The following is a 21,040-nucleotide window of genomic DNA, read 5'->3' as shown; positions in this document are numbered from 1 at the left end:
TGGCACCCAGTCCTGACCCCTTCCAGGCATCTCTGCCCTGCTGTGGCCTGTGCCCGGGCTCCAGAAAGATTAGCACAAATAACCCCATCAGCAAGGCAGACACAACTTCACACGCACCTAAGGAACTAGAACACAGGCCCCTGTGTGGACAAAATGCAGCCCCAAGGGCACATCTGAGAGCCGTGGAGCAGCCCACTGCAACATGTGAACCAAGGGGAAGGAAGATGCTACTTCCTCAGCACAGCCCAAATAAAGACAAACCAGGGATTTGGCTCTAAAAATTCATTATTGGCAAAGTAACCTAAGAAGGTCTTGGTTTATGAGAGTAAGGAAATTAAAACAAAAAAAAAAACTATGTTGGGCAAGATTTTATCTTGACAATGTTCCTTTAACTGATGTAAAATGTGAAGAAATTGACTGTAATTGATTCCAAGGAAGGATGCCAGAGATTCCTCAGCATTGGATCCAAGCTTAAAAAAGGAATTATTGGGCCTGATTAATATGGTGATTTTATTTTTTTAATCTCTCCTCTACAGTTCAGATGTTCATGTTTATAGACAAGAAATTCACCTCATTAACAAATGGAACACCTCAACATTGCAAAATGACACTGTGACATATTGCTCTGGTAATCCGCGTTATGACATTGTTGCCAAGACCCAGAGGGCCCACCTATCAGTGTGGTTCCCCTGTCAGGCTTGAGGTTGTGACAAGAAGCTGACAGCAAAGGTGCTGATAAGAGATAGCCTCTCCACTGCCATGTGGGCTCTGTGCAACACCCAGGTATCATGGTGGGGCCAAATCGCCCAGCCCTTGAAGTCCCTTCCTTCTTCATGCCCTCACAAACACCTGGGCACAAGAGCAGTGACAGGCAGGGAACCTAACAGAGCAGGTCCCACCAGCATAGCAGCAGCTAGACTTTCTCTGCTGTTGGTCTCCTGACCCGAGAAACCAGAAACAAGTTTTCTGTAAATAATAGAACCACAGTGTTAGCCCCTTACTAATGACCAAGTTGTGGGGTGGAAAGAAACAGAAAACTGTGTCACAGTCAGTTAGCCTCACTTCGGGAGTGGTGAGAGACAAAGGCAACAAAATTCTTTAACCAAAGTGCAACGTAAAAGCCATAAAAAGGAATGAAATATTGATTTATGCTACAATGTGGATGAACCTCGAAAACATTATGCTAAGTGAAAGAAGCCAGACACTAAAGTTCACCTAGTGCATGATTCCATTTCTGTGAAAAATACAGAATAGGTAAATCCACGGAGACAGAAAGCAGAGCGGTGGCTGCCAGGGCCCTGGGTGAGGCGGGAATAGGGAGTGTCTTCTTAATGGGTACAGGGTTTCCTTCGGGACTAATGAAAAAGTTAGTGGTGATGGTGTATATTGCGGATGTGTTACATAGCTCTGGATTTCACATTGTACACAGGTTAATTTTATGTGAAATGAATCACACCTCAATTTTTAAAAATTTATAAATGCAGCATCAACATATTGGCCCCACGAATGACAACTGGCTTTCCGATAGAATGCAGGTTCCCAGGACTGTGTCAGGAGTCTCTCCTTCCCTGCCCCCTGCCCTTTTGGAAAAAGCCCCTTAAGATTACTGAGCAAGTCATTTCCACTCATGGGGCCTCAGTTCTCACTCAGGTACTTGTAACATAAGACATGCCTCCAGTCCAAATGGTCTATGATCCTATTACTCCTCCTACCTCTGGGAGAACGGTTTTAACAGACATGAGAGAACACACATCCATGACCACGGTCATCCTCAGCGCCAAACACAGAAGGCAGAAGGACTGACACACTACAGAGTATCTAACGGAAACTTAGAGAAAGACTGATGATTCCAACTTTTAAATAAAAACTAATGTTTATTATTCACTACTTGCCACACACTGTTCTCAGTATTTGTATATGCACTGGTTTATTTCATCATCATCACAGCCTTTTACAATCGAGAAAACAGAGCTACAGGAAGGTAAGTAACTTATACAAGGTTCCCTGCATCATACAGAAATATTCCCTGCATCATACAGGAAATACTCGGTGGAGTAGAGATTTGATCCCAGGAAGTCTAGGTCCAGAGTCTACGTGCTTAACCTCTCTGTGTCACAGCCTCTCCATAGACAGGATCCATTTTATTTTGTATTTTATTTTAGTTCTAACGTTGGTGCTGATAGGACCATGCTTGTCCTGGATAAAAGGAGGAATTCAATAGTAAATAGGATAATAAAAGAACATTGGACTGATAGAAGATCTGTATTCTAGATCCATCTTGGTCACTGGTATTGTGACTTTGAGCAGATTATAAAACTCTCTGGCCCTCAGCATCCTCCTCTATAAAATGAGAAGTTGGACTAGATCAATAGTTTTCCAATGATTTAATCAATGTAACTGTCTTCAGATTAAGCCTCACTTAGAAACCCAATACACAAGCATGGGGTTGTTCTGGCTCAAGATGGGGGAGGGAGGATGCAGACCCGCTCTCCATGCCCCAAGCAGCTCCTGAGACACTGTCTTGGAACCCTTGTAACTCTGTGGAATACAATTTGAAAACCTCTAAAGTTTCTTTTGAAAATAAAACCTAAAAACCTTAAATTCAAATACTGCATCCTTAGGCATTCTTTAACACTGTGGGAAAACTTATAATATTCTGCTCACTTTGCTCAAAAACATTTGTTTGGATTGATGGCTTTGTGCAGAGGAGGCGAAGGTTTCAGGTATGAAGCATGAGGGGATCATACCAAGGACGGATAAGGATGTCCAAAACCTAAACACAGCCCCCTCTTAACTGCTAGATGCTACCAGCCCAGTGGGCCCCTCTTGGGAGACAAGCTGCTCAATTCTCAATCTGTGTGTTTTCTCTAAATAGCTCTACAATTACTAAGCTGGGTTATTTATTAGAGTTTTACATTGATCAAAGTAGTACTACTTAATTCTTCATAAAACTTCATACTGATATTTCCTCTGGTCCCCATCATTAAGCTTGGTCAATGAATAATTGGACAAAAAGTGTCAGGGAGAGAGTGAGTCCCTCATGCTCACTCTGGAAAGATCAGAGTGAGCCTCCAGGGAAGGGACTTTCCGCTTTAAATGCCCACGCTCAAGTCAATTCCATTCTCTCCTCTCACTTCATAGGCATTTATAAATTTAAGTTTGCTGCAGTGCTTGGAAGAGGTTATACAATTGTTATGATGCAGTGTTCAAGGCAGACAGCTCCCCATAACTCAGAGGCCAAGACAAACAGGAATATATTAATAGCAGCCGCAGCATAAAGATAATTTATTTTCAGTATCTAGGAGCTGCGGGGATCAGCAGATAAGACTGTTAAGCATTTAAGCATTAAAGCAAAGGAGCTTAACAAATGGGGGGAAGACAGAAGGAGAGAGATGGAGAGAAGAAAGATTGATCTCCTTTGGAAACAATGTAGCATCTGAACCAATTAACCAAGAAACAATTATGTAGTTATGGGCAACACCAGGCAAAAAGGAAAAGACATTCTCCTAAACCCCCTTGCTCTGCCATTTGGGTGGTATATGCCACCCAAAGGGCAAAGCACTTGTTTAGCACTGGAAGAGAGTTTAAACCAGGAAACATTTTCCTTTTCTTTACACCCCTGCTCCCCAGCATCATCTGGCTTACTAGCCTGATGACAATAAACAAAAAAATAACCATTTTAATTTAATGAAATATCACAGTATCTTTCTTTGGGAAATGGCAAGAAAGAATTAGAAAGCTATTTCTCCACTAACTTTTTTTTCAACCCACAAAACCTGAAGGAAAAGCATCGTTTTGTAGTTTTAGTTCTTTTAAAACATAACAGGGTACACATTTTGATTTTGTACTCCAAGAATGTATACTGTGTACTCCTCAAAATTTCCCCAATAGTACTTCATAAGAAAAGAATCTGACCACCAGCTAGACTGAAAATCAACACTGCAAAGTCTTGTACACAGTAAACTCTCACATGAAATCTTTACAATCCATTTTTTAAGAAGAATATTCACATGGTTTCAGTCTTACAAGTTTGTGTCAAAACCCAAATGTTCAGAAAAGCATACACCATTTGTACACAGTGTAAAAAAGCCAATATTTATTGAATAAAAAAAGACATTGCCTTATACAGAGTGAAGTCTTCCAGCATCTGCAACTTCCCACGCATCCAATTACTCATTTTCAGTGTCTCTTAAATGTGTTCCCTTCATTCATTCCTACCCATTGCCACTGCTAATAATTCAGAGCTCTCCTCACCTCTCACCTTTGCTGGTGTCATTGTCTGGCAGAAATTTGTATCTAACTGATCCATCTGACTTGAGGCTCACTCCTCAACCCCAATCAATTTTTCCCTCCAAATCCAACCTCATCATTCTAATACACAGATGGGACCATCCACCTTCCCTCCCGAAGAATTTTCAAGGCTCCCCGTTACCAACAGGAAAATCCAAAAGCTTTAGCAGAGCCAATAAGTACTTGCCCATCTTGCCCAACTCAGCTTTTCAGCTTTATCTTCTATTCATCCATCCTTCTCTTTTGTATCCTTTTCTCCCACCCAAATAAATAGACCTCCAACTCTCACCTTCTTCAAATTGTTGATCATTTATACTCATACTTCTTCCAGCCAGCAACTGTTTCCATCCATCCACCACTGAATAGGCCAATAAGAATGCCAGCTCCCCCATGAAACTTTCCGACATTGCCAGGCAGTTGGCTTTCTTCTGGTCTTTCAAAGGCTTTTGCACATATGTCTACTAGTAAGGTAATAATTTGTTCTGTTATTGTTTCCAGTAAATGTCTTCCCCCCTTGGTTACCCTAGCGAAGTGCTACACAGGGGAATTATTTGTCTTTGTCTGCTCTGTGCCTAGCAAATCCTAGTAAATAACTGATAAATGCATGAATAAAACAAGTCAGGAGTTTAAAACCTGAGAAGAGGACAAAAATATGTGAAGTTAAATACTGAACAATAGAGATTGGTAATGGCTCTGCTCGGCCAGTGAAAGAAATTTGGGGAGAATTGACAAGGTAATAAAAATCCCAAGGCTGGTATTTTAGGTGAAAGCTTCTCCAAGAGGAGTTATTGGAGTCTTCAAAGGATGAAGAGGATTTGAGTCAGAAGACAGAAGATGGAACAGCATTTTGGGAGGCTGAGATGTGAGAGAATAAAGGAAAACAGGACGGCCCAAACTGTGTTGGGAGGCTAAAAGTAAAATGGGCCCAGAACCATTTTGGAGGCTTAGAGTAAACTAAGTCCTCAACAAGAAGGTGTCTGGCCCTCAACTCTGCAGAGAGTGCAGAGCTGGAACGGGAAAAGGTGACCACCACATTCACCTCTAGAGTCTCTAACACACACCACAACACCCAGGGTACTCACCTAATGGATGTCAACCATGGCAGGGGGCAGACAGCACTGCCCCAGCTGTGCTGAGACACCACCGCTTGGAATCAGCTCTTCCAGATGTTCTGTGGAACGCAGAACCATGGAACATGTCTCTGCACAGCTGGAGGTCATCTTTCCAGTCTGAATCTAAGTTGGAAGTGACCCTTCCCACTAGAAGGGGCCCCCTCGCCTTCACTACGACCACAGAATTGCACAAAGAGACAGAGAACGCAGGGTAAGGGAACTGAGAGCAGCACTTTGCAGAGGCCGTGGGGAAGGCTAAGCCTGCCTTCCCCAGAAATAAGTGCCTGGAGCCTCCACTGTGACAAATGCATAAATGAAGTTTAGTACCTAATCAGAAGAACTGTGAAGAAAAGTTGGCACTCCAGAGCAATCCAAACAAGAACAGTGCAGGATAGTCAGAGAAGACCCAGACTGGACTAGCACAGAGACCACAGCCATGGCCACACCAGCTGAGGGTCTGCACCAGCTCCTTGGAGGAGGGATGGGTGATTGGTGCCACAGCCTGCTTTGGTCTTCGTGGTTTGTTGCATATAAGTTCGTGGCCTACAGTGTATAGAGATCTCCTGACAGGTCAGAGTGCAGATGCTCTCAACAGGCCCTTTGGTTCATCTTAATCAAATCCCAAGACACAGGCCACATGTCAGAACCTGCTACTTGTCTGCCAGTATCCACTCTCCCACATGGCTGCCCAGAACAAAGACTGCATTTCCTACCTTTCAGTGGACTGAGTTCTGGTTGTTGGGCTGAGAGGGAAAAGAGATGGGTGCAACCTGGCTTTGACTCCCCTTCTTCCATCCTGCTGCCTGGACTGTGAACACAGTGGGAAGCCATCATGGGCCATGCAGGGAGGGCAACACTCTAGGTGGGCAGGAGCAACAACACAGAAGGGGCCTGGGAGTCTGACATGGAGACACCCTGGATTGCTTGAGAGAGAAATAAATGTCTACCCCCCTTAAATTCACTGTTATTTTGGGTTTCTATTATAGCAGCTAGCTCTGTGTTCCCCATCTAAGGATGTCATCTATAAATACCTGGCCCAGGTGGAGCTGGCCTGACAGTCAGAACCAAGATTCCTGGGCCATACGTGGAAGTCAGGAGAGAAGCCCCTTATGCAATTTTCTCATAATGAGCCTCAGGTTTTCCTGTATATCATTCTGCCACAGGGCTTGCAGTGCAGTAAATGAAAAGATCTAGGTAAATATCTCTGGATTGATTAAAAGCCTGTTCACTTTGAGCCAAGAGAAGGAAACCCAAGCTCAACATCTGTCAATTCCCAAAAGAGGGAGCCTCCTACAATGTCTGCACTGGGTACTAAGTGCAGGGCTTAGCTATTGCCTAATTCAACTCCTCCCCTTAATCTGGGAAGATTAAACTAGGTGGAAACCCAGGTTTCCTGACTCCCGGTGCAGTGCTCTTTTCAAGATATCTTACTGCCACTTTGAAGGCATTCATAATCTGAATGAAGTCTATTAAGCAGCAAAACATAATATCAGGCCCTGGTGTTCTGAAGAAGGTGTTGGGTAGCTATGCATTCTTCCATGTTACATCTGTCCTTTTTATTTTTCATTGGCAACCATAAGCTGTGAGCTGCATTTACTTAGAAAGGCACATTTTTGTCAAACTGGACTTACTAAGATGACTGGAAGCAGACATCCAAGAAGCACAGTAAGTACCTCTCCCAAATGACTTGTCCTGGAACAGTTACTAACAGCGCACCTCTGCCTGCTTTTGTGAAACCTGCATTCCTGGCATTTATGACAGGCTGAGGAAATAATGAGGAGAGCCCAGAGCTTCCACATTAGCCAATAGGAGGAAGTTCTCACTCGGCAGGTGGAAGCTTCTCCTGGGGAAATCCTGGAGGCTCGTTGTTCCTGTCAACTACTAAAATGTACCCATAAATTTCCTGTGACAGGAGACACAGTGTCTGAGGAGTAGAAAGTGATAAAAGCCAAAAATGTAAAAGCATTCCTGCCAGAACTCAGCCCTTCTCCACGCATGGCATTAAATATACAAGAAAGGAAGCCACTCTCCACACCCTACACTCCATCCCTGACCACTGAGGCTGTCCAGGGCAGTAAGACCAGAAGCCACAGAATAGAGAATGGGTTCTAAAGTTCACTCCAACATATGAACCTACAGAACGACAGAACACTCGATGCACCACCACCAAAGCAGGTGTTCTATTTGTCAGCTTGACTGTTTTCTTTCGTTTTTAATGGCAGACCCAGAACAAGTTAATAATTTGGGGGGCTCAGTGCAGAATGAAAATACAGGGCTCCCTGTTCAAAACTTATTAAGAATTTCAAGGCTGTGACAGCAGAGTATAAAACCAGGCTCAGAGCCCTTCTCAGTGGGAGACTGTACAAGCTGCACGTTCTCAAAGCTAAACCTGGGTAGACTCTACCTTCCACAGCATTCTCTTTTTATACCAGGTGGAATGAATGATTTATTTAAGTACAATAAGTCTTCACTTAATGCCACTGATAGGTTCTCAGGAATTGTCACTTTAAGTGAAATGATGATATAAGGGTATTACAAAATTGGTATAACAAAACCCATTTTACCGTAGGCTAATGGATACGAACAAGAGTTAAGGCTGGGTGACGTGGCTCATGCCTGTAATCTCAACACTTTGGGAGGCTGAGGCGGGAGGATCATTTGAGCCCAGGAGTTTGAGACCAGACTGGACAACATAGAGAGACCCCCTTCTCTACAAAAAATACAAAAATTAGCTGGGTGTAGTCACATGCACCTGTAGTCCCAGCTACTCAGGAGGCTGAGGCAGGAGGACCACTTGGACCCAGAGGTCCAAGTTATGACTGTGCCACTGCACTCCCCCGAGGGTGAGACTCTGTCTCAAAAAAAAAAAAAAAAAGTTCCTTAGGGCATCTTTCTGGTCACAAAAACATTACCAAACCAAAACAAAACCCCAAATTTCTAAATAAAGACCAAAACACTTCTAATACTAAACATTGAAACAAATGTGAGCTATACATACATTTAAGAAAGATTACAGAAATGAGATAATTATTTACCCAAGTATTCCGGTTCCCCTGAACTCAGGTGGCCAGAGCCTGTCCTGGCAGCTCAGTGTGCACAGCAGGATCCAATCCTGGACAGGAGGCCATTCCATCACATAGAGCACTCGCACACACACCCACGCTCACTCATGCTGGGACCCTGTCAATACAGCAGTTCACCTAAGTGCACAGCTTTGGGATGTGGGAGGAAACAGGAAAGGCTAAGAAAACCCATACAGATGTGGGGAGAACTTGCCAACTCCACCTAGACAGTGGCCCTGGCTGGGAATCCATTTTTTCTTCCCATCAATGTCATAATGAAAAGGTGTTGAACACAATAAATGTATTCAAAGACCTGCTGTACTTGCGATAGTCTGACTGTGTCCCCCGAAACGTATGTGTTGGAAACTTAACCCCCAATGCAATAATGTTGGGAGGTGGAGCCTTTTAGAGGTGTTTAGCTTGCAAAGGCTTTACTCTCATGAGTGGATTAACACCACCATGAAAAGGACTTGCATATCTCTCTCTTGCCTTCTGCCATGTGAGAAGCAGTAAGAAAGCCTTCACCAGATGCTGGCGCCTAGATCTTGGACTTCCCAGCCTCCAGAACTGTGAGAGAAAAGATGTCTTTTTTTTTTTAGATGGAGTTTCTCTCTTGTTGCCCAGGCTGGAGTGCAATGGTGTGATCTCAGCTCACTGCAACCTCCACCTCCCGGGTTCAAGCGATTCTCCTGTCTCAGCCTCCTGAGTAGCTGGAATTACAGGTGCCTACCACTACGCCCTGCTTATTTTTAGTATTTTTAGTAGAGACGGGGTTTCACCATGTTGGCCAGGCTGGTCTCAAACTCCTGACCTCAGGTGATCCACCCACCTCAGCCCCCCAAAGTGCTGGGATTACAGGTGTGAGCCATAGTGCCCGGCAAAAATGAGTGTCTTTATAAATTACCCAGTCTCGGGTTTCTGGTATAGCAGCACCAAATTGACTATAGTGCTCTATCTCTGTGTTTAAATTACCTGTAGCAAATTCTGACTGCTCTGCCTATAGTGTAGGTGACCCTGAGCAAGTTATTTAAGCTCTCTGAGCCTCAGCTTCCTCAACTGTAAGATAAAAATGACAACATAAAAAATGATCTATGCAAAGCTATTTGCAGTTGGTTATTATCAACTATTATTATTACCTAGCAAAAAGGCAGTTGATTAAGAAATGTACTGAGTGATAATTAGTGATTAGGAAGCATTTGTGAACGCAGTATCCAGAAATAATTTTACCATTAGGGAAAAATAGTTGACGTGTAGATATTTTCCTACTTACCCTGGAAACTATTCTATGAAAGACTTTTCATGTATGGCCCCAAGAAGTCAGTTCCTGGCCACTGAGCAGAAGTTACTGGTAGGCAAATATGGGTTCCATACAGGGAAGAACTTTCTAATTCACCATCTGTTGAGAGGAGCTAATGAGTTCTTCATGGCCAAGGGCATTCAAGGAGGCTGAACCACCACCTTGTCAAGATGCAGAGCAAATTTATGTATTAGGCAGATGGCGTTCAAATCTCCTCCACTCCTGAGAGTCTATGGATTTGGTGCAATTTCAGTGCTTCTATTCTGTAGCTATGATGTCTAATTTTATTCCTCCCATGGCCCTCCACCAAATCAGCCCTTCTGTCTTCCCTTCTTTCCTGCTCAACCATTTTGTTGTAGCCAAGTGTACTTATAGTCCCAGGAAGCTTTACAGCATCTAGAGTTCTCCTTTCCTACTGTCTCCTCTGCTGCCGTAAGTAGTCCACTTTCTCCCATTCCACGGCATCCTCTATTTTTATTCCTTTATTCTTGTTATATGCATGCAGCCTTACTTCAGGAAATTTGTGCTGATTACATGACATGAGAGGGGAGGAACCAGAGCTAAGGGTGCAAGGCACAGGTTTGGAGACAAACAGCCCTAGGCATCCAAACCAGCTCTCTCAGCTACCAGGGGTGACACTGGACAACTTATTCAATCTCCCTGATCCTCAGTATTGTATCTGAAAAATCTAGAAAATATTAGCACCCACTTTATAGAGTTTTTCTGAGGTTTCGATGATCTAATACAAGCAAAGCGCTTCACATGGTATCTGGCACATAAGTAGTCCTCAGTGAAAGTTAGCAGTTGTTATTATTGCTGTCCACCAAAGAGCATTTGTTAATGGCATCATATTCTTGCCTCCTTCAGTTTCCAAGAGAAGTGTGTGTGTGCACTTATGTGTGCATGTGAGAGAGGGAAAGAGAGACACAGGAGATACACACACACTGTCAGAGAGAGAAAGAGAGAGAAAAAGTTCTCTGAAAGAAATGTATACCTTTAAACATTTGTCTTTCATACTATTTTAAAGCTCACTCTCCATATTCATGGTGCAATGCTGCATAGTAAGAAACATAAAAAGAAATTTAACAAATGGTTCCTCCCTGCAGAAAGTTTAAAAACATGAGAAATAAACAGAAACATAAACCATCTACCACTGATATCTTCAGGATTCAATTAAGTGGTAAATATTAAATACATGTAGGTACATATTTCATATTTAAAAATACTTAACATATTATGGACACTAAAAACTAAATCAATCTGTGAGCAAATCAAATGATTGCTATAGTTAACAGTATCCTCTCACAAAAATACCATGTTACATTAGAAGCCATCTAGATTTTCTTTTTCTTTCTTTCTTTTTCTTTCTTCTTTCTTTCCTTCTCTTTCTTTCTCTCTCTCTTTCTTTTCTTTCCTTCCTTCCTTCCTTCTTTCCTTCCTTCCTTTCTTTTCCTTCCTTCCTTCCTTCCTCCCTCCCTCCCTCCCTCCCTTTCTTTTCTTTCTTTGTTATGTTTATTTTAGATACAGGGTCTTGCTTTGTGGCCTAGGCTAGAGTGCAGTGGCGTAATCATTGCTCACTGCAGCCTTGCACTCCTGGGCTCAAGTGATCTGCCTCAGCCTCCTGAGTGGCTGGGACTACAGGCACGTGCCACAACACCCAGCTACTTTTTAAAAATTTTTTGTAGTGATGGGATCTCACTATGTTGCCCAGGCTGGTCTTGAACTTCTGGGCTCAAATGATCCTCCCACCTCAACCTCCCAAAGGGTCAGGATTACAGGTGTGAGCCACTGTACCCAGCCCCAGATTCCATTTCTAATCCTCAGTCAGCTCCAACTCTGTTTTTCCCTTTGCCCTGCCAACCTATCAAACCATAGACTCACCGAGTTCAGAGCCAAAGATGTAACTCAGAGAGTCACCCAGTTTGGTTTCTCCTTTTTCCCCTTTAACAGCAGCCATGAGAATCCCATCTGTTAAGGGAGAGTGACACATTTTGCTCCCTCATTAGATAATATTTAGGGAAGGGTTAAATGTTTTTTTTATTAAAACCTTGGGACCACTTCTTTAGCTGGTTCAGTTTATTTGCATGTTTGTAGGAGAGCTAGGTTAGGAAAGAAAATCCAATGTTATCGTAAGGGAAAAGTTCTGTCTTCTGTTTCATCACGATCATTCTACTCACATGTAAATTTTGAGCACAGTACTATATTTTTATAATTAGATTTACTATATATTAAGTCAAGCTACCTGTCCCTGCCAGGTACTGGCCAACTGAACTGAGTTTTCTTCCCAAATTAGTTGAGTTGTGCTTATTAAGACAGAGGGCCTGAATGAGCTCCGTCCCATCATTGGCTGCTGCCCTGTGCAACGCCCACGCATGGCTCCATCTCAGCTGATGGAGGAAGCGCTCGTCCACAGCCATAAACTTCAGCTTTCCTTGCTCTGTTGCTTTCATCCTGACTGCCTCTCAACATTCTAGCTTCCCCTCTCCAGCCGTGGTGTACTGGAGCCAGCTTGTACTAGTTTGTGAGAGAATATTGTTAAATTTTCAGAAATTTTGCCAGCCGATTGTTCAACATGGCCAGTATAAAAACCGAATTATGTGAACTTACAACTAAATAAATTATATTAGAAACAAAGAGAATAAATACTCAAAAACTCCTTCCTTCCTAATTATTTTACCACATTTTACCATTCCCTTTGCTCTCAAGGTTGCTTATCATACATGTCAGCCTATGCTATCCGCGTGGTGGAAAGAGCACACCACGGTAAACCACTGCTCAACTCTCCCTAGCTCCCCTCGCAGCAGTGTTTACGTGGACATTCTCGAATCAAGTCATTGTGAGAGTATTTACAACAGGGAGGTCAGCAAATGTGACATATCCGGGCTTGATTTATTGTTCTGTTAATTGTTTAGACCACGCGTCTGCAACCTCTGGCCTGTGGCCTGTTTTCCTGTGTCCCTTGAGCTAAGAATGGTTTTTATGTTTTCAAAGGTTTTAAAAAAATATTCAGAACCTCCCATTGGTAGACACAATAGTATTGTGTTGAGTCCGTGTAGAAGGCAAGCAATGGTTTTTCTAATTTGTGGTGCTACTGCCTTCAAGCCAAAATGGGAGCCTCCCGCTGGGCTCTTCTTGCCTCTTCTGTCTCCTTCCTAATTACAATGAGTCTGGCATGAGGACACACCGACAGCTGACTCTGATGGAGCACAAGGCAAATGGAATGCAGTCCTCTCACTATCACAGTCATACTAGTTCCACAGAACCAATAATAGTAAAAATATTTTTATCAGTAGAGGCATTAGGTCAGAAAAAAAAAAAACAGAAAAAAGATACATTGACTGAAACCATGCTTACATCACCATGTTTAGTGGGTATCTGGCAATTATCCAGGTAATTGGATCCTAAGTAGCCAGACCATCTCTTCTCCCCTCACTCCCTGTGAAAAACTCTATCTGGAAGCTTAATGATCTACATTACCAAAATTAACTGGGTAGCTGTAAAAGCTAACTGAGTTCTTTTATTTTTTAAGGGTGATCAGTTATCTTGTATCATTCTGAAACCCATAAATGCTTGAGCGTTCTTGAAGGGGCTGTCCCCATTTACAGCCAAGCTAAAAAGTACTAACGGAATTCTTTATATGATTACTAACGAGGCCACAATTAAATTTCAAAGCTGAAAACCAGCAGAAGCAGAACATTTTTAGTTGCTTACTCTTTTTCCACCCGTGTGCCAGGGTTTCCGCTGCTACCTAGCATCAGAGTGCCACCATCCCAGTCTCATGTAGGCCCTCGGTGTCATCTCTTCCTCCTAACAATTACCCTGTGTCCAGCCTTTCCAATTTTCTAAATTGTAGCCAGAATTACCTTTCTGAAACTTTGATGTCACTTCCCCTTTTAAAGACTTTTCATTGTACTTCATTGCCTAGAGAATAAACTCCAAATTCCCAAAGTCCAAACGTGGTCCCAGAAGACTCCTAACCACCCAGCGCCAGCCTGTTTTTCCAGAGTTGGCTATATCCTTAAGGAACAGGAAGCTTCTAAACCAGTGCTTCCCAAACTTGGAGGCACATTATAATTACCTGGGAGCTTTAAAGAAACTCAATGCCCAGGCCACGTCCTACATCAATTAAATCAGAATGTCTGTGGGTAAAGCCAGTGTCTGGCACCTTAGGTAATACCAAAACTATATTAGGATTTTGGTGACCCAGATTGCCTGGTAGATCAGGTACTGTTCTCAGAAATGTTTTAAACAGATGGGCATGGTGGCTCACGCCTGTAATCTCAGCACTTTGGGAGGCTGAGAGGAGCGGATCACCTGAGATCAGGAGTTTGAGACCAGCCTGGCCAACATGGTGAAACCCTGTCTCTACTAAAAATACAAAAAATTAGCCAGGCGTGGTGGCAGCACCTGTAATCCCAACTACTCGAGAGGCTGAGGCAGGAGAATTGCTTGACCCCGGGAGGAGGAGGTTGCAGTGAGCCAAAATCGTGCCATTGCACTCCAGCCTGGGCAACAAGAGTAAAACTTCGTCTCAAAAAAAAAAGAAAAAGAAAAATGTTTTAAACAAACCCATTGTCACAATCAATACATTGATACATTGTACAATAGTTAGTTTTAGTGTATCTCCTCCATTAAACTTTAAGCTCCTGGAAGGCAGGGTCTGTATTTATTTTGTTGTACTGATGTATTTTGTTGTACTGAGTACTGTTGTTTGACAGTACTCGGGACCTGATAAGTACTTGGCACCTAATAAGACACTCAGGAAATGTTTGTCAAATCAAAGAACAAACAAATGAACAAATATATGAATGATTTCAACCAGGAGACACCGAACTAAGAAATGAAGTCATTCATGTCTTTTTGAATAAAGGTAATTATTTTAAAGATGGAGCACCCCATTTCCCACTGAATTGGTCATTATAAGCCTTGATAAATCCTCCTGGTAGAAAGAGCATTGCCTGGAAATCGGAGACCTGAAGTCTAGTCCTGTTCTGTCATTACCAAATAACAAAGTCAGTGATTTGTATTTATTAAGTGCTTGATATGTCCCAGGTACTTTATTTGTATTTTCTTGTTTAATCCTCAAAAATAATCTTACCAAATAGATATGATTAGCAACCTCATTTTATTGAGAAGGAAGCTGAGGTTTACCTAGGACAGGTGAACTGCCCAAGTACCATACTAGCTGAGAGAGATCTGAACCCAGGAAGTGCAGAGGCTGCCAACCAGGCTGTCCAGTGGTTCTCCATTCTGCCTGCTGTTTGAATCACTTTGAGACTGACCAGGGCCCAACTTCAGAATCCTATTAACTCCTCTGGATGAGCCCTGGCCATGGGGCTTCTTTTTAAATGCCTTCCAGCAATTTTAAAGTGTGGCCAGGGTTGAGAACTTTCGCCCTAGGCTCTCTCTACTCTATGCCATTGTATCCTCCCAAAAGCCACTTCTCTGTGCTTCAGTCTCTTCTGTACAAAGAGGTGGCTGAAGCCACCTATCTTGGCAATAATTCTAGCTTGAATGCCTACAAATTATCCCTGCCCTTGCTCCACTTCCCACCTTAGGCCCTGGCAAACAGGGGACTCCTAGACTCTCCACATCTGACTCCAGACAGCTTTCCCCTGAAGTTTTCAGCCTCCACTACAGAAAACTTGGGGCTGGGATAAGCTAACACAGTCTTATTTTGTTAGATGCTGTACAGCAAGTAAAAGCTGTAGCTTCTTAAGAATAAGGAGGATAAATGTAGCCCAACGGGTGCCCCTTGTCAGCCCTAATTGAGGATGGTCTTTCGGCACCAGGTAAAGGGAGAGAGAGTACAGAAGCAGAGTCCCCTGACTGGTAAACTAGCCCTTTCATAGAGCAACATGGTCTTCTCAGCCCTGCCTCAGAGGGATGGGTTTGGAGAAGCAGAAGATCCAGTCTGTTTTCTTGGGAAAGGAAACTCCAAGAAGGAGAACAGGAGAAAGCTGAGCAGGTAAAAACTACTGGTGGCTCAAGGATATACTATTTGCATAGGTGAATCCCTGGGCCAAGACCTGCCAGTCCGTGAGCAGGAAGGGATTGCTCCCATTCCCAGTGCTCTTGGGAGGCTCTGAGTCTGACTAGCTCCAAGGCCAGTGGGGACAAGGTGGCTTTAGCATGACACCTATGGCACTACCCAGACAAGTCTCTGGCTCCTCTGTAAGGCCTAAAGCTCAAGCCAACCAGAAAAGTCTTATGTCCAAGAATAACTGAGACCAGCCTCTAACTCTTAGGACCATTCTACCCTGGTCTAGGCACAAAGACAGGAGGTACAGTGTCTTCAGGTCGATACACTTGGCAATTCATGTAAAGAAACTGGAGCCTCTCTTGGGCCTCTGCCATGCTCCCATAGCATCCCAAACTTTTCACACTCAACGCACTTTATTTTGATTACCTGCTTATGTGTCCATTTTCCCCGTGAGACTCTAAGTTCTAGGAAGGCAGGGAATGTGCCTGTCTTGTTCACTGCAATATTCCCAGCTCCTAGCCCGGTGCCTGTCTCATGGTAAGAGCTTCATAAATATTCATTGAATGGACAAGTGATTAAATGTAAAGGTTATCTCATAAGCGAATAAGCAATACTTGCTACCTACTCCATGGGAAAGTGCTGAGCCATGAGTTGCTATGCTTATTATAAGAACTCTCCCATTATAGACTAAACACAGGCTTATTTGGGTTAAAAAAAAAAAAGATGCCTATTTTTCTGACAGTTTGTTGTTTTCTTCTAAAGTCCATATAATTTTTAATAAAAGCGAACAAAACCAAACAGTGGTTTCAGTGTTTGGGGTTGTTTATAAATACACTAATACTGAAGGCCCACGGAGCCAGCCCTGTTAATAACACGGGCCTGGCTGGCTGCAGTCCTGGTCACTGCTCCTAGGAGTCTCCATAGCAGCAGGGGAAGGTCAAAGCACTGGGAGAGGGCTATTTATTACCAACAGGAAATGTGGAAAACACCCTTCCCTTTAATCTTCAAATTACCTCAAGGAAAACAGAAAACAATGTTATCATCAGACATTATCCACAGAGAAAACAGAGCCTTCTGTGGATGCTCAAACCCTACTTCTAAAGCCTCATATTTTATGATTACATCAAAACACTTAAAGTGTTTCTAAGAGCTCTTTCAGCAATACTCACAACAAGCACAAAAATAAATGTTATAACATTATCTCCTTATTAGAGATAAGAAAAACTGGTCTGGATTCTACGTAATTTCTTCCATACCCACAGAAATGGGTGAGAACCTACAGATGCTGCCTTCCAGCCCACAAGGCTGGTACCACTGCCCTCTGCCTTACCTCCAAAGACAGTCACAACAGGTCCTGAAAACACCCAAGATTCCTGCATTAGTATCAGAGCAGAGATCTGTATCTGTGTTTTTTGCATCATGCTCCTGGTCCCAAGATCCCCAAGGACATCACAGAAATAAATCAGGGGCCTGGCAATGGCAATTTGTTAAAAATTAAAAATTATAACCATTAGTAAACCAAAAAATGAGGAGCAGTAATTCTTTGCTTTACATTAGTACATTTTGTTATAAGTGCCTTTATAAATGATAAAGTACTAATTTTTGTTCTGGAACTAAGTATGACTCTTTTGTGCAGGATATAAATCTTGCTATTCTCAGGAGCAAGGGCCAATGACTAAACACTCATGGAGACCTAGCTTCATACCAGGCAGGCACTTTATATTCTAAACACGTCACAGGCATTATATTATCTAGTTGTCACAGTAACGCTAGCAGGTTACCACTATTGTTGTCTCTATTTTATAGATGAAGAAACTGAGGCCCAGAGCTTTAGAGTCTCCCCAAGTTTACACAGCTAGAGGGAGATTGAGACGGGTTTCTTTGACTGCAGAGCTCATGCTTGCAATCATTTTGCTGTATTGTCTCCAAAAGAGAAAGACATTATGCCACTATGGCTAGGTTTAATTTTCTGTAGTTTAGGGAGATTGAAGGAATCCCAAATCCCAGAAAAATCAGTCAGCTAAAGTCACTCAGAAATATTTCTGGTCATTTAGGTGTCCTCTAAGCACAAGGCCAAAAATAACAGTGATTTAAATGACACTGGAGTAGAAATACAGGTCACATCCAATTACAATGGATCTCAAGGGAGCATCCAAGCTCTTATTGTGTCCTGGAACTTTTTATACTAAATATTGCTTTCCCCAACTACTAGAGGTCTCACTGATCCTCCTTCCTTTTCTCCAAATTCTGGTACTTGCCTGTACATCACAGCTGAACCCTTGATTATACACTGTATTTTACTGTTCACATTTTTTCATGTATGCTAGTCTTTGTCTCCTCAACTAGATTTTAAATTCCTTGAGAATAGAAACTGGGCTTCCAATCTATTGTGTATTTACAATGTGCACAAACTGGGTGCCTACTGAGCATGTAGAGAGTCCTCAGTATAACTCACGTATGGATTTGTTTAAATAATACAGGCCAAAAGCCTTTTTCTGTAAAGGACTAGATAGTAAATATTTTAGGCTTTGCAGATCACATGGTCTCTGTTGCAACTACTCAACTCTGCTGTTGCAAGGTGCAAACAGCCATAGACAATCCAGTGAGCATGGCTGTGTTCAAACAAAATTTTATTTACACGACAGGCAGAGGGCCAGATTTAGCCTGTGAGCTGTAATTTGTCAACCCAATATAGAATATTTATGATAGGCTTGAGGGACCGGGTAAGGAAATATTCTTAAATCTCAGCATTATAGAAGTAGATACTATACCTCCCCTTCATCCCTCTACCCCCTAGTCCCCACTATTAGAGTTCTAGCTCCTGACCAAGCCAAGTATTTTTCCAAAGCCTCTCATCTTGGACTTAAGGTTAGTTTAGCACAATATTTTGCAGTTCAATTACCTTTGGGGCTTCATACATCAGTTTAAAAAGAGAAAAATCAATGACAAGGTGAAAAGGTAACATAGTAGGTTGTAAGAACAATAAGTAATTACAAAATTCTTCAAATGCATTCCACCAAGGAGGCTCTGACACTCTTTCCCAACTGCTTCTTACAGACTGCCATGCAAATCATCACAGGTGATTTGAAATACTCATTTCACCTGGATTAGCAATCTACAGCGAGAGCCCATCCACCCTGGCAGGAAGCCACCTACAGGATGGCAAGGGGAAACATTCCTTTCTCCCCACAACAACAGCTTTCCTTCGAGCATGAGGGAACACAACAAATGGAAGAAGAAAGGCTTTTCGGCCCTTAGTTTTGATTTAACGTTAAAAAGTCTTTAATGGGCTGCTTTCCTGACCTAATTTCAATGTGAGATGTTTCCCTAAACATATTGTTCAGTATTGTTTCTGGGCTTTTCTACATGTTTGTAAAGATTTGATACGCATTTGATATGAACCGAGGTAGCTTAATAGAGAACCACAGAATCCGTAGCTGCGTAGCACTCTTCTAATTCAATCTCTTTATTACACAGAGAAGTGAAGTGACTTGCCCAGAACTGTGGGTTCTTTGCTCAAAGCAGATAATCATTCGGGTCATCCCTCTATGACCTTAGCGCTATGATAATGAATCAGCTAGTGCACACCTAGTTAATGGGAAAGGCAATCTGGTGACCACCCTCAACACTCCTCCATGTCCCAGGACAAGGCTCCTGTATGTGAAATCAGCCACATCCAATATCATCTTCCTCAATAATGTGACACAGAGCTGCCTGTGTTTTCAGAGGCATGGCCAGCAACTTCCATTGTCCTTTCCATGGTACACTGAGAATAAAACAGAGATTTGTCTTCTGCAGTTTCTACTTCCTCCTTTTTCCCTTTCTTTTTTTTTTTTTTTTTTTTTGAGACTCAGTTTCGCTCTTATCTCCCAGGCCGGAGTGCAGTGGTGCAATCTTGGTTCCCTGCAACATCTGCCTCCCGGGTTCAAGTGATTCTCCTGCCTCAGCCTCCCGAGTAGCTGGGATTACAGACGCCTGCCACCACGCCCAGCTAATTTTTTTGTATTTTTAGTAGAGACAGGGTTTTGCTATGTTGGCCAGGCTGGTCTCGAACTCCTGACGTCAGGTGATCCGCTCATCTCGGCCTCCCAAAGTGCTGAGATTACAGGCGTGAGCCACCGTGCCCGACCTCTACTTCCTCTTTCTTAACATCTTTTTCTCCCTGTTGATAATCAAATGACTGATTACTTTGAGACTCGTGGACGTTGGGTAGCACTATCAGGTCTTTGCATTTTAAGCCAATGATCTCTTCATGTGGAATTAAAGGTGCTTCCTCATATCTTAGGGTGATGCCCAGAAATACAAAGAAGCAAATCAAAAGGTGTAGCTATTGTAGAGATCCTCTAGACCCACTGAGCTTTCACCTGACTCCTGACAGTGACAGTAAATTAATAGATTTCATGGGACTGGCAGAGAGAAGCAAAGAGAGTGGTCAATTCAAGAGTGATCTCTCCACTCCAAAAAGCTCTAATTACCCCAGTCCCCCTCCAGGTCAAGTTAAGAGAGGTCTAGTCCAGGGAGCTATAAGGCCCAGACTGGAGAATTTCTGACTTTTTCAAAGGTACAGGTTACCTCTTACCCTAGCAAAAGCCCCCCCTGGTAGATGTCTGCCTTCCCCACATTCCCCAGTCTTCACCCCATTATCTGCCCCTTCTCATTCTGCTCTGGCTCTCAAACAATTGTTTCAAATCTTAACCTTTTGTATAACCCTGCAGAACAAAGAGCTATGTCTCCTATATTTTATCTTCCTCTGTGAAGTTTCTGATAAATATGTTTTAACTTGCATCCTTTAGCGTATAAAAATATTGGGAATGTGCTGCCCTGGGAATTAACATATTCTTTGTCACTTATGCAGAATTTTTTTGATTTGAACACTAATTGGGTAATTGGATTAAAAGTATCGCTTCTGGGCTTCTATTAGAAAGAATAATACTGGTCATGAAACTAATAATAATGATGATGAAGATAGTGATACTCTTACTACTACTAATTGTAATAGTTTTTTGGGTTTTTTTTCTATTTGCAGTACATTGTACAGATTGCAAAGCTTTTTCTGGTACATTTTCTCACTTGATCTCATTTACCCAGTGAAATTGGTAGAGCAAATATTATGTTCCCCAGGGTATAGGTGAGGTCATTTGTTGAAGGTCACGTAGATAGAAAGAGGTGAAACTAGTTTCCCTTTCCAGGAGGGGGTGCCCTTCCTACTGTGCTCTGCTGCTTAAAACATAAATGAACCATGCATTGAAAACAACTGATAACACACTGCTTCAAACTGTTCTCCTCCACAGGGAGA

At 42.7% G+C, this 21,040-nt stretch overlaps 1 protein-coding gene and 1 long non-coding RNA gene across 32 annotated transcripts in view, besides 1 other annotated feature; both read right to left on the bottom strand.

Moving 5' to 3' along the window:
- The window catches only part of CACNA1C (calcium voltage-gated channel subunit alpha1 C), a 727,171-nt gene that overhangs the window by 667,210 nt on the left and 38,921 nt on the right, over nucleotides 1-21,040 (bottom strand). The gene's annotated exons all lie outside the window — the stretch shown is intronic.
- CACNA1C-IT1 (CACNA1C intronic transcript 1) lies at nucleotides 1,902-14,070 on the bottom strand. The gene is made up of 3 exons (XR_001749433.2): nucleotides 12,449-14,070; nucleotides 9,735-10,815; nucleotides 1,902-2,196 (listed from the first exon to the last, which is right to left on the bottom strand). It is a non-coding gene; the product is annotated as a CACNA1C intronic transcript 1 (long non-coding RNA).
- Nucleotides 18,624-19,132: an enhancer, noted in NCBI's record as "OCT4-NANOG hESC enhancer chr12:2120775-2121283 (GRCh37/hg19 assembly coordinates)". NCBI's record gives its function as "activates a minimal SCP1, AML or CMV promoter by ChIP-STARR-seq in naive H9 embryonic stem cells {active_cell/tissue: H9 hESC(naive)}" and the evidence as "EXISTENCE:reporter gene assay evidence [ECO:0000049][PMID:30033119]".

This window comes from Homo sapiens, chromosome 12 (assembly GCF_000001405.40).
Source record: "Homo sapiens chromosome 12, GRCh38.p14 Primary Assembly".
NCBI classification, from domain to species: domain Eukaryota; kingdom Metazoa; phylum Chordata; class Mammalia; order Primates; family Hominidae; genus Homo; species Homo sapiens.
The sequence above is the reverse complement of the archived record's forward strand: the minus strand, read 5'-3'. Positions and strand labels throughout refer to the sequence as shown.